Genomic DNA, 16,226 nt, shown 5'->3' with positions numbered 1-16,226 from the left:
TCAGCACAGCAGGAATAGTGTTGCTGTTTTATTTGTATTTTTCTCTCTAACAGGCACTTGAAACAAAATAGGTATTTGGAAATTCTTTTCTAAAGGAACAAAATATTCAATAAATGCATCAAATTTTTTAAGATATTTCATTAGGAAAGATGTTCAAAAGTCCTGTATATACATTATACATGTCTGTGTGTGCAAATGTATGTACATAAACATAATTGATGTTTTCAAATACGTCCTTAGATATCAAACATTGTACATCTAAATAATACAAATAATACAACATAACACAAAAATATACAAATAATACAAATATAAAAATTGTACAAAAATAATACAAAAAAATTGTACCCAAATGGTCGGGCGCGGTGGCTCACGCCTGTAATCCCAGCACTTTGGGAGGCCGAGACGGGCGGATCACGAGGTCAGGAAATCGAGACCATCCTGGCTAACACGGTGAAACCCTGTCTCTACTAAAAATACAAAAAATTTAGCCGGACGTAGTGGCGGGCGCCTGTAGTCCCAGCAGCTCTGGAGGCTGAGGCAGGAGAATGGCGTGAACCCGGGAGGTGGAGCTTGCAGCGAGCCGAGATCGCGCCACTGCACTCCAGCCTGGGCGACAGAGCTAGACAACGTCTCAAAAAAAATAAATAAATAAAATAAAAGAAAGAAATTGTACTCAAACAAGCCCCTGAAAAATACTGCCTTTAAAATATTTCAAAACAAAATAAATGTGGGCAAGATGTCTAATTTTCTACAGAAAACTGTGACCTTCCTCTATTTAATATAAAATTGTTGCTGAAAAGCAGTTGCCCGAGCATAGACAGCATTTCTCCACCCCATTTGCATCTAAGTAGACCCTTTTGATTAGTTCCAGCTCATGGCTAGATAGTAATAATTCTTATTATCACTTTAAATGGAATGCATCTCTCCATCCTTTTCTTCCACAAACATTTATTTTAAATCCACTATATAAAACATGTATTAAGTAAGATTAAAATAAGATTATAAACAATGTAGCAATGTAGAAATAAATAGTTTATTTTATGTAATTCATGCCAATGCTGCTAGTTAATAAGTATACATTTGCCACAACACTATAAAGATAATTTCTCATAATTATTATGAGACAAATCTAATACAGTTATTATAATAAATACAGACATTTAGCAGAACCTTTTAATAAGCAAACTATCTTAACTGACAGTTACCTGTTTTGAATTCAAAGAGTATCTCTATTTTAAAGAATTATCATGAATGGCTCTGGATCAATATGATTGAAGAATTCTGGACATAGAAGTGACATTTTTCATTGAATCTACTAGAAAAATCATTCTAAAAATGATTTCTGCATATGTGTGTGTAAGTTTTTCTTATTAAAATTTTTCAACATTTTGTTATGAAAATTTTCAAACATACTGAAAAATAGAATTTCATAATACCCTTATACTCACTAATATTACAATGTACCTAATTTATATTTTGCTACATTGTACTATACTTTCTTTATCACGTATCCCTTTATCTGTCTATAGTTCAATCATCTTATTATTTTCTACATTTCAAAAATATTTGTAGAATCGCTGCACTGTTCCCCTACATACCTTAGCATGTATATATGTAAAGGTCATTATTTGTTTACAATTCACTTTACAATTAAACTTCCACAGAATAAAATGCACAAATCCTAGGCATATTATTACATTAATTTTGACAATTGCATATGCCTGTTCAATCCAACACCTGTCAAGGTACAAAACATGCTTTATCATCACAAAGGAAAAACCTTCATACCTTCATACTTTTTTTACTGTCAAACACTTCACCACCCAACCCCAGAGGTAATCAATATTTTTATTAATTTTGTCTCTTTTAGAAATTCCTATCAATGAAAGTATACTACATGTATTCTTTTGTGTAAGACTTCCTTCATTTAGCATGGTTTATATGAGACTAATCCATGTTATTGTATATATCAATAATTACTTCATTTTTATTGCTAAACAGTTTTTTATTATATACACATTGTTTATCCATTCTGATGATGACAATTTAGGAAGATTTCAGTTTTTGCCTATTTTGCTTAAATCTGCTATTAACTTTCTTGATAAGTGTGTGTAGACCTATGTTTCTGTTTCTCTTGAGTAATTTCCTAGGAGTGGAACTGTAGGGTCATAAGAGGTGAATCTTGAGGTTTATAGGACACTGCCAGATCTTTTTCTCAAAGTGATTATAATCTCTAATTGTATTCTTTTATCAAGTTCTAATTTGGAAATTAGACTTTCTTACCTAATCAATATGAATTCAACCTTTCTTGCAATATGTATCTTTCCATCTTCCTCGATAGAGGAGAGATATACATTAAAGATATAATGTACATCTGAAAGTAAAACAATTTCTTTTAAAGATGGGTAAAGGGTGAATGTGAACAACTTTATATAAAAGTAAGTAAGTGCAGTCACCCCTCCATATCCACTGATATCGCATCCCTGGATTCAACAAATCACAGATTGAAAATATTAAAAAACAACAACAATAAAAGATAACAATACAACAAGAAAAATTACAAATGTAATAATACAGCATAGAAACTATTTACATATAATTTATATTGTATTAGGTATTCTAAATAATCTAGTGATAAACGTAAGTATAGAGGAGGATATGCATAGATTATATGCAAGTACTGCACCACTTAACATAAAAGACTTGAACATTTGCAGATTTTGGTGTTCATGGGGAGTCTTTGAACCAATATCACATGGATACCAACGAATGACTATATATATTATTTTAAGAGGTATTTAATTTAAAATTGTTACATAGAACATTGAAAAAATTTGTTAAAAATAATATAGGCTTTATTCCCATAATCAAAACATAACAGCATTTCTTTCTTTCTTTTTTTTTTTTTTTCTTTGAGACGGAGTTTTGCTCTTGTTGCCCAGGCTGGAGTGCTATAGTGCAATCTCAGCTCACCACAATATCTGCCTCCTCAGTTCAAGGGATTCTCCTGCTTCAGCCTCCCTTGTAGCTGGGATTACAGGCATGCGCCACCATGCCCGGCTAATTTTGTATTTTTAGTAGAGATGGTGTTTCTCCATGTTGGTCAGGCTGGTCTTGAACTCCCAACCTCAGGTGATCCGCCTGCTTCGGCCTCCCAAAGTGCTGGAATTCCAGACATGAGCCACTGCACCAGGCCTAACAGCGTTTCTTAACTTACTATTCAAGTGAAGTGTTGGACATCATTATATTCAGTTTTAAACCAAACCTAATTTAAATCAGAATTAAAACTACATTTATTTTTGATAAAGACCAGATATCTGTCAATTTCCTAATGGCTGCCATAACAAGTATCATACACTAGGTGATTTAAAATAACAGAAAGTTATTGTCTCACAGTTCTGAAGGCTAGAAGTCTGAAATCAAGGTGATGGCAGGACCATGCTCTTGAAACCTGTAGAGGAGAACTCTTCCTTCTTCCCAGCTACTGGTGGTTTGCTGCCATTTGGTAATATCATTTGACTTGCATCTTCAGCATTCTAATCTCTGGCTCTATTGCCATATGGCGTTCTCCTCTCATGTGTCTGCATCTCTTCTCTTTTTATAAGGACATCTGTCATATTGGATTAAGGTTCACCCTAATGACCTCATCTTAACCTTATTAAAATCTACAAAGAACTTATTTTCAGGTAAGGTCATCTTCACAGGTACATAGGGTTAAAATTTAAACAGTTTTTTGGAAGATAACAATTAAACTCATAGAATAGGATGCATGACATTTGGTATATTTCCCATTTTGAATATGTAAGAAACAATGGCATGATTAAAAGCTTGGTCATTTCTTCTTAAATATATTAGGATATTTGATGATGCATATAAGTTTTGACAGTTGGAATAAGTATAAATTTTTGATTTTGCTATTTTTTCTTATTCTCTTAATCTAATAGCTTTAGAAATTATCAGATAGAAAGTAGAGTATGTAAATGATTGTTTCCTTCAAGCTCTTTCACAAAAATGCCAAAAATAACAACAACTTGTTTCACAAAATCAGCAGAACATTACTGATTGAAAAAATCAGCTCAAAGAGTGAACTTACACAAGTTTGCAACAAAAAAAGCTTATCTGCCAGCAAAAATCATTTTGGAAAGCTGAAAACAATTTTTATTTTTTGACACTGATATAATACAGCCTCAAATATTTTGATTATTAATTATAGTTCTAGAAAAGCCACTTTCTCATTTCAAATGGAAATTTAACATCAAGAAGGAATAAAAACTGCTAACAGTACTGAAATTCTATGAGGAAATATAACTTATTTGTCTTGTGTATTTGTGAGACATTTACCTATTATCAACTCAAGCTTTACTTGGAATGCCTACTTTCTATTCCAGTAAATAAATATGACACAGATATATAGAGGTTGAGAGAGAGAAAGGAGAGGGAGAGAGAAAGAGACACACAGACGAAGACAGAGAGAGGGATGGAGAGAGAAAGACATTGGCTTTCACAACGTAACAAAGTAAAAATTACCACATTCTTAGATATTTAATCCATTGAAAACTAATATGTTCTAGCAAAAGTAAAATGAAATTAGTGTATTAATCATAAGTAATATAATTTTAAGGGATTAATTTTTATGTTTCTGTATACAGAAGGTAATAATATAATAGCCTTCATTACTATATGCAGAAACCAAGAGCCAGAATTATTTAAGGTTACATAGCTTGATGAGGCCAGAGAAAAGAATTTGATTTTTTTTTAAACTCTGGATTGCAGTAGTTTTATTCTTTTTTTTTTAAGTGTCTTCCTTCAATCATTCTCCAAGTTATACCTATAAAATTTTAGTTTAAAATCCCAGCTGTATAAGATCTGACTCAAGGTAGGAAGAGATATTAATAGAATTTTCGAATGGAACTCTACTATAAGATTCTGATTTCATCTATTCCTATAGGGACAATGCAGCTAATGGTCTCCTTTAAAGATTTAATAGCTTATAAATATATCCAAGTAATGCTGTTAGATTCTATGTTTTGTATTTTAATTTGAAAATTCAGAGAGGCTGGCATGGTTTCAGAGCTCTGGAGAAAGGAATACAGACATAATCAATTAATAATAACATCTTAGATTAATTCACCTTAAAAGAATAGGTATATCAGTTTATATCAAATTCTAAGTTCTCCTGTCTTCATTTTTATTATAGCAATAAACTAAAATTAGCTCCACAAAGGATGGAGGTTAAAATGTTGAGTTACAGTGAGAATACTGTAAAAATAGGAGAAAAATAGAGAAGTAAAATTAATATCAGAAAACGAAGGGAGAAAAATAGTTGAAGTTCTATTCTGAGCTGGTGGAAGAACCTCATGTCTTCACAAAATGTGCGGGAAGAGTTAGACCCTGAATTCCTTTCCTCAAGGTAAAACTTGTCATTGCTTCTTGGAATCTTGATCCCTTAGCTTTCATCCCTCACACCACCATTCCTCAATTCAAATTCATCTAACAGAAGTATGTCAACTGTTGAAATCATTGGTCGACTGGCAGTCTCAGATTCTGTAATCTTCCTAAGGTAGAAAATGAATCGGGTGAGATCAGTAAGTAAATAGCAACAACAAATAAATAAAAGAGGCTGCTGTCCTGGTGCGGTGGCTCACACCTGTAATCCCAGCACTTTGGGAGGCCAAGGCAGGTGGATCACATGAGATCAGGAATTCGAGACCAGCCTGGGCAACATGGTGAAACCCTGTCTCTACTAAAAATACAAAAATTAGTGGGGCACGTTGGCGTATGCCTGTAATCTTACCTACTTGGGAGGCTGAGGCAGGAGAATCGCTTTAGCCCGGGAGGCAGAGGTTGCAGTGCGCCCACATTGCACCACTGCACTCCAGCATGGGCAACAGAATGAGACTCCGTCTCGAAAACCAAACCAAACCAAACCCAACCAACCAACCAACCAACCAACCAAACAAACAAAAACCCTGCAACTGCCTATTCTGTCTCCTTGTCAATTTCCTACAAATTATGGATTCTTGTACAATAGAGGCAATCAAATTCTCCTAAGGTATATTTATAATTTGCTGATTTTTTAAAAATTTCAACTGTTTTTATTTAATTAGATGTTTCAAGGCTTCGATTTATTTGAAGTATGCTAAAGAATCTTTATATCTAATCTATTTCTATTGCCGTAAAGTTTGAATTCTTGTGTGCTTACACACTGGAGCAAAACACTGATTCTGGAAAAGAATAATTCTCATGACTGAATTTAAACCTACTTTGGGGCTAAGATTTAAAAAAAGTTTATTTAAAAATAGATTTATTCTAGAGTTTCATAAGTAATTAAAATAGATTAATGAAATATTGCAGCAATGCAGAACATACATAAATTTCTCTTTAGGAAGTCACAGGAGTTGATGTTGACTTTTCACCTATAGGCAGATATTCTTGTGAATCCTGCATGTTATCAATTCTAAGATTCCATTAATATAAGATATATCATAAACCTTGATTGTACATTTTGTCTGCAAAATTGCATCAGTGCACGTAGCAATTTAGGATGAATCTTGATTTGAGAAGTATTAAAATGAGAAAAATATTTTAATATGTGAAGAAATATGGCATGATATGTTAGAGTATGTTTCATTGTTTTCTTATTACAGTAGAAACAGTTTATAACAGAATTGTACAGTCATCCTGACATATATCACACATCCATATGCAGAGGTCAGATGAAAATAGAGGATAATTTGTCTTTCAAAACAAAACAACAACAACAAAATCAACTAGAAGATACATCCACTCAAATACTGTGTCATTGATTTGGTGAGAAGAACACAAATGTAAAAGCAGAAATATTTCTATACCAAGGAGCATATCATTCATTAAGTACAATGTATTTTAGAGTACTACTGATTTGTAGCTCATGATAACCATAGTATGAACTGGAATTGACTTTCTATGATGTGTAAAATAGAAACCATTTTCCAAGCAAATTGGTAATGTAAACAAGGAAATTATTTATTATACTCAAGAGTGAAGTTTAGCAAACTTTTAAAGGCTTGAAAATATCACTGATAAAAAATAAATGAGCTCATGATAAATGATTCTTATCTATGAAAGTAATTACAAGACTCTTTCAGTTACAAAGACCAGCTTAACATTATCTCTTTCCTCTAGCAACCCTTTGAGATGGTCTATATGTCACACCTCTCACTGTTAGTGAGCCCCTGGGCGTGAATGAGTTAAAGAGGACCAACACATTGCACTATCACTTGATAAATTGTAAAGGGTTGAAAAGTAGAATTAAAAAGAGTTAATGTCAATTACTGCTTACTTTTCTGCTCCCACGAGATTGAATTTGAGTCTCTCTTCTATGACCCTATAGCACATAGTAAATAGCTAATTTAGAGCAAGTTCCCCACTGTTTTGAATTGATTTACTTGTTCTTAGATATCCCTCCTTAGACTGAAACAAATGACTTATAAATACTCCTAATCGAGGATCATATCTAACATAACTTTTTATCTCTCAGTAGCTCCCATTTGACTTGATTTGCTATTTTTTGCAGTACAACTTTATTTTATACTCAGTTTATGAAATGCAAGTGAAACAGATTTCATAAAAATTTAGAGTGGGGGATGAGGAGGGGGGATCTTTTGCTACATGGCAGGTTATATATATTTTTTAAAAGCTACAATGCAAGCTAATGCTTTTTAACAACAAAATGTTTACTAGTTGATTATATATGTAACTTGAAGCTGCTTAGTAGTGCTATCACTTCTTGGTTAAAACAATCACTTCACATTTGTTCTTGTCATGAAGGAACCACCCTTCTCTGTTTTTTGTTTTTTGTTTTTCTGTCTTTCCCATTCCATTTAAAAATATGTACTCTATATATACCTAGACAGATTTTGATCAATTTCAGAATTACTGATTTGAATGGCCATGTACAATTTATTATTTTACTTTAAGTGATGATGGAGTTTCCTAAGTCTGTTTCATTTTTTAAATTTCGTGACAATATCTGGATGGTCAGAAGCTGACAACCAGTTTCTGCTACAATTTACTTTTTAATCAAAGAAAGTATGTATGTATTCCATGATAGGTATTTTTGATGACCTGCATCACAGTGTGAAACTCCTGTCAATTTCCAACTAACAACAAAGAAAAAGAATAGAAAAAAATTGGATGCACAGAGAATAAAATGCCATTTCACACTGGGTGCTTTGTAAATGTAACCCAACTCACACAAATCCTTTAGGCATCAGTAGAGATGAAGCTGAGCCAGAAAAGAAGAAAACATGTCCAAATAGAGAAAGTTTGCTCAGCAAATTGAAATTCAGGTCTGAAATTGATAAGTTTGAGTTAAATCTACTGCAAAGGGCATATACTCATTCTTTTCTTAAAATGCAAAGTTTATTAAATATTGATTTTTGTTGCAGATTCTTTGCCTATTTCCAGTCTCCTCTTCCACTTGATTTTCTGACACAGTACTTATTACTTAGGTAAATGGGAATAAAAACAGAATGCTAAATATTTAAACAATTTTATCTCAGTTTGCACACAGAAGTAAAATATACTCCTTTATGTAATTATAGCTCAATATAGAAGATATAATTTGGCATATTGTCCCAAAGCAAATACCTTTTATATTGTTGTGTAATATGTTGAACAAAAAACAGTTCAGTTGTAAATTAGAAAGCTTTTACATTAAATATTATATAATTTCATTATTTGAGCTGTATCAAGTTCATGAATGTAAAAGTGTTTTGTATTAAAAATTCCTAACAAACCCAAAAGAGAAAGCTGAGTTAATATATTAAAAATTGTTTGTCTCTATTGACCCAAACTAAAGGACAAACAAGCTCTCTTCATTTCTAAATTCTCATTGACATATTTATTTACCAATATATAAAAGAGACATTTTCAGGTAGAAATTTATTGAAAAGAGGCCAGGCACAGTGGCTCACGCCTGTAATCCCAGCACTCTGGGAGGCCGAGGCGGGCGGATCACGAGGTCAGTAGATGGAGACCATCCTGGCTAACACGGTAAAACCCCGTCTCTACTAAAAATACAAAAAAAATAGCTGGGCCTGGTGGCATGCGCTTGTAGTCCCAGCTACACAGGAGGCTGAAGCAGGAGAATGAACTGAACCCCAGGAGGCAGAGCTTGCAGTGAGCCGAGATCGCGCCACTGCACTCCAGCCTGGGCGACAGAGCGAGATTCGTCTCAAAAATAAATAAATAAATAAATAAATTTACTGAAAAGATCAGAGTATTCTATAAATTTTCTGATTCTTTAACTATACTCCAGCAAAGAAAAGCAAAGAGCATATTTATTCCCAACCCTTACAGGGAGTTGTAACATATATATGTTTTAAATAGTACTATGTGTTATGATTATAAAAAGGATATGCACTCATTGGTGATAATTTCCAGATTACATAAAAGTATAGAAAATATAAATAAATTTAAATTCAATTTTTTTCTCTTAATAACCACTTATTGAGTGATTGGTATAGATATACTAACTGCTGGACTGTTGAGTATTTAGAGGTAAAATACAATATTCTCATTTCTTGCTTACAGTCTACTAGTTGACTTCCAGAATAAATAGATTACCATGATTACTGTTTTATTTCAACACAACAGGTTTCTCAGTATGTTTTTTCCAACTTAATATAAGAATTTTAAAAATTCATTAAAATTTCTCCAAAACAATTTTTCACAGCTTTATCTGAAAGACCATCATTAATTATTTAAGCTTTGCCATATTTTTGAGGTTTTAGGTTTCTTCCAGTGTTTATTATAATAAATGATGTTATGAGAAACTTGTTTATGCTTGTTTTGATGCTTCCTTTATGACAGAATTCTAGAAATAGAATTCCTAGGTCATAAATTATGAACATATAAAAGTTGCTGATGTATAACATTAAATCGGTTTTCAGAAAGATTGCAGCAAATTTACCTGACTTCCAATGCTATATACAAGTTGCCATCTCATGACAAACCTGTAAGAAATAAATATTATCCCATTTTATAATATTTGATGATTTAAACATGAAAAATAATACATTTTTATTGTATTTTTGTTCTTCATGAATAAGTTAAATATTTTATGTTTATTAACCATTTAGATTTTTACTGCTGTGAATTGCATAATTTTGTACTTCATTGAATAGAAATCATTATTTTGATACAGTTAAACCCATTGATTTTTTTTTAACTTTTGCTTTTTACCCTTTAGGGCTTTTATTAAGTTTTTCTCCAAAGCATGACCTATTGCCCTACACCCTCTTCTGTTCACCGTCTTCTACTAGTTGTGTGCATGTATTTATGCATGTATGTATTTATATAACAACCTATCAATTACATCCACATATCTTTATATATATGTTTTCACATAGTAAATCATTTTTTCCCATCACTGACTTTAAAATCCATTATTTCTGCACTGATTTTTGATGTCATGTTTATCAAACATCAAGCTCTCATATTTAAATGACCTCTCCTTTCTGTTTTATTTATGTATGTTGGTAACATGCTTGTATTAATGTGGCTTTATAGTGTGTCTGAATAGATAGGATGAACGATCCTCCCTTTTTTTCTTTTGTTAAAATTGCATTGGGTTTTCATAAACCACCTGTGTATGAGTTGATAGTAGTCAAAGGTGCAACAAACCCAAATCTTATCAGCACCAACTCTGTCTTTTAGGATCAGACCCTCCTCCTGGTTTCTTAGAGTTTTTCAATGGAAATCTCTTTAGTCTCTCACACATTCATAGCATTATCAATCCACAAGGGATTTGGAAAGTCTACACTCAGATTTTGTTTCTTAATCATTCTGCAACTAACTTGCTTTTACAGTTTTCTCCCTTAATGTGCACAGACTCAAATGTAGTTTAAATAAAATAATATGTAAGGTAAAATTCTATATAAAATGTATTTTTTCTTTTAGTAACATTTTGTGTAAATATATAAGTATATACACATACACATTTGCATATCACGTGCAAAATCATACTATTACCGTGCTTCAAAGATTGAGCTACATAAAATCTTGCCTCCCACTGTTGTACAGAAATAAACTCTCCAGGACATAATTATTATGATTCTTAAATATTCACAAGCTAATGTTATTCTTAAATATTCAGAGCTTTTTGTAGGATTCGAAAGCCTAAGTCACCTTGTCAATGGTGAAAATAAAGTATTACTTAAACTTCCATGTTTATCTTTTCTATTTCCTTCATTGGGGTCACATCTTCTGTAAAGTTCTTTTACTGTATATTTAAATTTTCTTTACTTCACTAGGGAAATATTTTCTTTTCCAGGGAAAATTAGATATCTACAACTTAAACTTGTCTTTATCTGCCTTTTTTACAAGAAAATATTTTAACCTTTGGCTGTTACTGAGAGGTGACAGCGTGCTGGCAGTCCTCACAGCCCTCGCTCGCTCTGGGCGCTTCCTCTGCCTGGGCTCCCACTTCGGCGGCACTTGAGGAGCCCTTTGGCCCGCCACTGCACTGTGGGAGCCCCTTTCTGGGCTGGCCAAGGCCAGAACCGGCTCCCTCAGCTTGCAGGGAGGTGTGGAGGGAGAGGCGCGAGCAGGAACTGGGGCTGCGCGCAGCGCTTGCGGGCCAGCTGGAGTTCTGGGCTTGGCGGGCCCCGCACTCGGAGCCGCTGGCCGGCCCTGCGGGCCCCAGGCAGTGAGGGGCTTAGCACCCGGGCCAGCGGCTGCGGAGGGTGTACTGGGACCCCCAGCAGTGCCAGCCCACCGGCGCTGCGCTCGATTTCTCGCTGGGCCTTAGCTGCCTTCCCACCGGGCAGGCCTCGGGACCTGCAGCCCACCATGCCTGAGCCGTCCCCCACCTCCATGAGTTCCTGTGCAACTGGAGCCTCCCTGACGAATGCCGCCCCCTGCTCCACGGCGCCCAGTCCCATCGACCGCCCAAGGGCTGAGGAGTGCGAGCGCATGGCACGGGACTGGCAGGCAGCTCCACCTGCAGCCCTGGTGTGGGATCCACTAGGTGAAGCCAGCTGGGCTCCTGAGTCTGGTGGGGACGTGGAGAGTTTTTATGTCTAGCTCAGGGATTGTAAATACACCAATCAGCACCCTGTGTTTAGCTCAAGGTTTGTGAGTGCACCAATCGACACTCTGTATCTAGCTGCTCTGGTGGGGCCTTGGAGAACCTTTATGTCTAGCTCAGGGATTGTAAACAAACCAGTCAGCACCCTGTATTTAGCTCAAGGTTTGTGAGTGCACCAATTGACACTCTGTATCTAGCTGCTCTGGTGGGGCCTTGGAGAGTCTTTATGTCTAGCTCAGGGATTGTAAACAAACCAGTCAGCACCCTGTGTTTAGCTCAAGGTTTGTGAGTGCACCAATTGACACTCTGTATCTAGCTGCTCTGGTGGGGCCTTGGAGAGTCTTTATGTCTAGCTCAGGGATTGTAAACAAACCAGTCGGCACCCTGTGTTTAGCTCAAGGTTTGTGAATGCACCAATCAGCACCCTGTGTTTAGCTCAAGGTTTGTGAATGCACCAATCCACACTCTGTATCTAGCTGCTCTCGTGGGGCCTTGGAGAACCTGTATGTCGAAACTCTGTATCTAACTAATCTGATGGGGAGGTGGAGAACCTTTGTATCTAGCTCAGGGATTGTAAATGCACCAATCAGCACCCTGACAAAACAGGCCACTCGGCTCTACCAATCAGCAGGATGTGGGTGGGGCCAGATAAGAGAATAAAAGCAGGCTGCCAGAGCCAGCATTGGCAACCTGCTGGGGTCCCCTTCCACACTGTGGAAGCATTGTTGTTTCGCTCTTTGCAATAAATCTTGCTACTGCTCACTCTTTGGGTCCACACTGCTTTTATGAGCTGTAACACTCACTGCGAAAATCTGCAGCTTCACTCCTGAGCCCAGCAAGACCACGAGCCCACCAGGAGGAATGAACAACTCCAGACGCGCTGCCTTAAGAGCTGTAACACTCACCGCGAGGGTCTGCGGCTTCTTTCTTGAAGTCAGTGAGACCAACAAACCACCAATTCCAGGCACATTACTTTTATCAAATAGTGCAAAATAAAAGTTATCACAAATAATTTTATAGCTTTGGAAATCGAATTTTAAGAGAATACTAAGGCTAGAACAAAATGTCCATGTTTAATAATGAAATATGTATACTATTTAAATAAATTGTTTATGGCTATTTTTCAGAGAACTAAAATATATTGAGATTAAAAGCCTGAATAAAATAATAAGTAGTTAAGGGATTTTAAGCAAAGGCATTATTATTATAGGACCATTTTGTGCTTTAAAGAACCATTCTCCATGTAATTGTGATGACTTGATTGGAAGTCAGAAAGATGAACTGAGAAATTTTGGAATTATTGAAGAAGATTTATGTGACAAATATTGTTAAAGTGGGAATTAGAAGGGGCAGAAGTGAACAAAGACTTTACGGGGCGCCCTTGATAAAAAGCTTTCATTGTAATAGAGAAGGAAGGGAAAATGGTGGGAGCAAATGTAGGTGAATTTGCAATCTTGGAAGTAGTGAGTTGAGGGAGTTCTGATAAATAAATACTATTATTGCAAAATAGGAACCAAATAGTCTGCTGATACTGGGACAAGAAATAAGAGTCACAGGTTTGAGACAACTGGGAAACTAAAAGTATTTAACTTTTTTCCCCCCCAACAAATGCTGACTACAAACCAGAGATAAAAACTTTACTGAATATTTCACATTACTTGTTTTACAATTTTGTACAGTTGCAGAAAGGAGAAAACCAGATTGTCTGGGAGAAAGTACAGTTGAATAAAATGAAGTACTTTGTTCTCTTTTTGTTTTGATTTTCGGAACAGTCAAGCCCTGCGTGTATTTGCATGCAGAGGAGAACAAGCGCAATCGAAGAGGCATGTGGTGCTAGACAGGAAGATAATAAATTTGGAAGCAAAGTTCTGGAATAAGAAGAGTGATAAAAGCAAGGATTTAGATTAAAAAAAAAAAGGAGTTTTAGTGAGTGTGAATAACACCTTTTCCCCCATGATAGACGAAAGCTAGGAAGATACAGATAAAGACATGAAAGAATTTAATTAGAGACAATCCAGGAGAGGGATGGGAAAGGAGGCCCCCAAACATGTCCACTGCTGTAGTGATTTCACTAGCCACGAGTTAGCTAAGTAAAATAGCTTCTAAAGAAGTCTAAGTTACAGTTGAACTGCATAGGTGGTTTTTTTTTTAATATTGTTTTTTAATTTCTAAAGTGCTATGAGCCAGGCACCATTCTATGTCCTGTAATATTTGTCATGATCTTTGTGTGCACTGGTGGAGTTAACACTGCATCATGGGAGATTTTGTTGCTAGGAGTTAGAGCAAAAGAATCAAAGAAGAAAAGTGAGACAATTGTGATTTATGGATTAATTCATAAAGGAAAGAGGTTTAGTTGACTCACAGTTCCGCATTGCTGGGGAGGCTTCAAGAAACCTTTAATCATGGCAGGAGGCAAAGGACAAGCAGATGCCTTCTTCACAGGTCAGGAGGATGGAGTGAGTGAATGCAGGAGGAACTTCCAAACACTTATAAAACCATCAGATCTTGTGAGAACTCACTCACTATCATGAGAACATGATCTAATTACCTCCACCTGGGTGCTCCCTTGACACGTGGGGATTACAATTCAAGATAAGATTTGGATAGGTACACAGAGCCAAACCATATCACACACTAAGCTACAAACATATCATAATGACTCAATTGTTATAAGTCATAAAGGAGACAATGCATGTTACTCAAATTTAAAAAACAAGAACAAAGCAAGAAATAAGAAATGGCTCAGAATTCAGATTTCTTCAATAGGTAGAGTACACATTTTTCAGTTGTCAAAAAAATTAAAATCCTGAGTTCCTATTGTTGAATTTTGCCTTCCTATTATTTTTTTAAAAACAGAAAGAAATATCTAAAAAGTAGTGATAAAGGTGAGAGACAAAATGTTTTCTTGGAAAGACCAGCTCATTATCTTATAATAATTCAGCAATATTTGGTAGAAAAAGGGCTTAGGAGACTCACTATTGACTCTGTTTATCACAAAAAGACTATTAAACTAACAATATCTATTTTTTTCAACATTTAACCCCATGTACACACTGTCTCCATGCACACACTGAACAACCCATTCAAATCAGCAAGAAATAGTCACATTTATAACTAGCATAATTTTCAATTTCTACTTCAAATTTAAAAATTGAACTTTTAAATAATCAGCGCTAAACAGCATATCTGTTATAGAAATCTTATTCACCAGGGGTCGTACTAACGTTTAGAACATTTTAGAATATTCTCTTTGTCTTGAATTGTTTATTGATATCTCTAACCTGCAACCAACTAATTTTCTCATTTTTTCAATTATGTCAAATTACATATGAACTAGTTTTCATTAATTTTTTAGCAATTAGCACAAGCCCTTTAATCCCATTAGTAAATTGCCTGTTATAATTTAGAAGTCCCAAAGTTGCAGGTTTAAAAAAAAAAAAAACAGTCATTTCTTTTACCTTTCTGTTTTCCCACTAATAATAAATAACTCACAACAGCGATTTTATTTTCTTCTGTCAGGAGACTTCTACCAACATGATTAAAATGACACTCCAAGCTGTAGCTGTTATCAATTATACCAATTAAGGTCAAATAGAATGGAACAGCAGTTTTCGTGGAACGCAATATGGGTGATGTAAACTGTTATTAATTTAAAGACATCACATTACCTATGACAGCTCTTCAGAAGTTATCATTAATTATTTCTAGACAGTCATCTATATCCACATTTCTGAATTAACTTGTTTTGTGTTCCTTGAATTTGGGGGAAAATGGGCCCTGCTGAAAATCAGTGTTTTCCAAATGGAATAGCTCTCCTGATCTCTTCACTAAAAAAAAAAGTAGTAGGGTTTTTCTTCTTATTCTTTAAATAATAGACTGAAAAATTATGAATTTTGATGTCTTTGCACAGAAATAGGAAAAGCTTAAACCTCTTTCTAGTAAGTTAAAGGAGTAGTTATATCTATATATCTAAAATATGATATTTTAAAAAAATATTTTAATAGTTCATTATAAAATTATAATTTTTCATTATATTTTTGCTAAAATGTATTTATATTATTCAGAGTTATTAACACTAATTGCTGTACCACCACCACCACCAAACATCCAGAAATCTCAGTGGCTTAATAAACTTCATCTGTTGCTAATT

The 16,226-nt window shown here is 34.9% G+C and overlaps 1 protein-coding gene across 3 annotated transcripts in view, besides 1 other annotated feature; it reads left to right on the top strand.

Annotated features, from left to right (window-relative positions):
• MGAT4C (MGAT4 family member C) overlaps positions 1-16,226 on the top strand; it is an 883,334-nt gene that overhangs the window by 530,644 nt on the left and 336,464 nt on the right. The window lies entirely within an intron of this gene.
• Positions 9,159-9,313: a silencer, noted in NCBI's record as "fragment chr12:86692822-86692976 (GRCh37/hg19 assembly coordinates)". NCBI's record gives its function as "represses an EF-1alpha promoter that drives an FKBP-Casp9 reporter gene in an ReSE screen in K562 erythroleukemia cells {active_cell/tissue: K562}" and the evidence as "EXISTENCE:reporter gene assay evidence [ECO:0000049][PMID:32094911]".

This window comes from Homo sapiens, chromosome 12 (genome assembly GCF_000001405.40).
Source record: "Homo sapiens chromosome 12, GRCh38.p14 Primary Assembly".
Lineage (NCBI taxonomy): Eukaryota > Metazoa > Chordata > Mammalia > Primates > Hominidae > Homo > Homo sapiens.
Note: the sequence above shows the minus strand (reverse complement) of the source record. Positions and strands in the feature narration are given on the sequence as shown.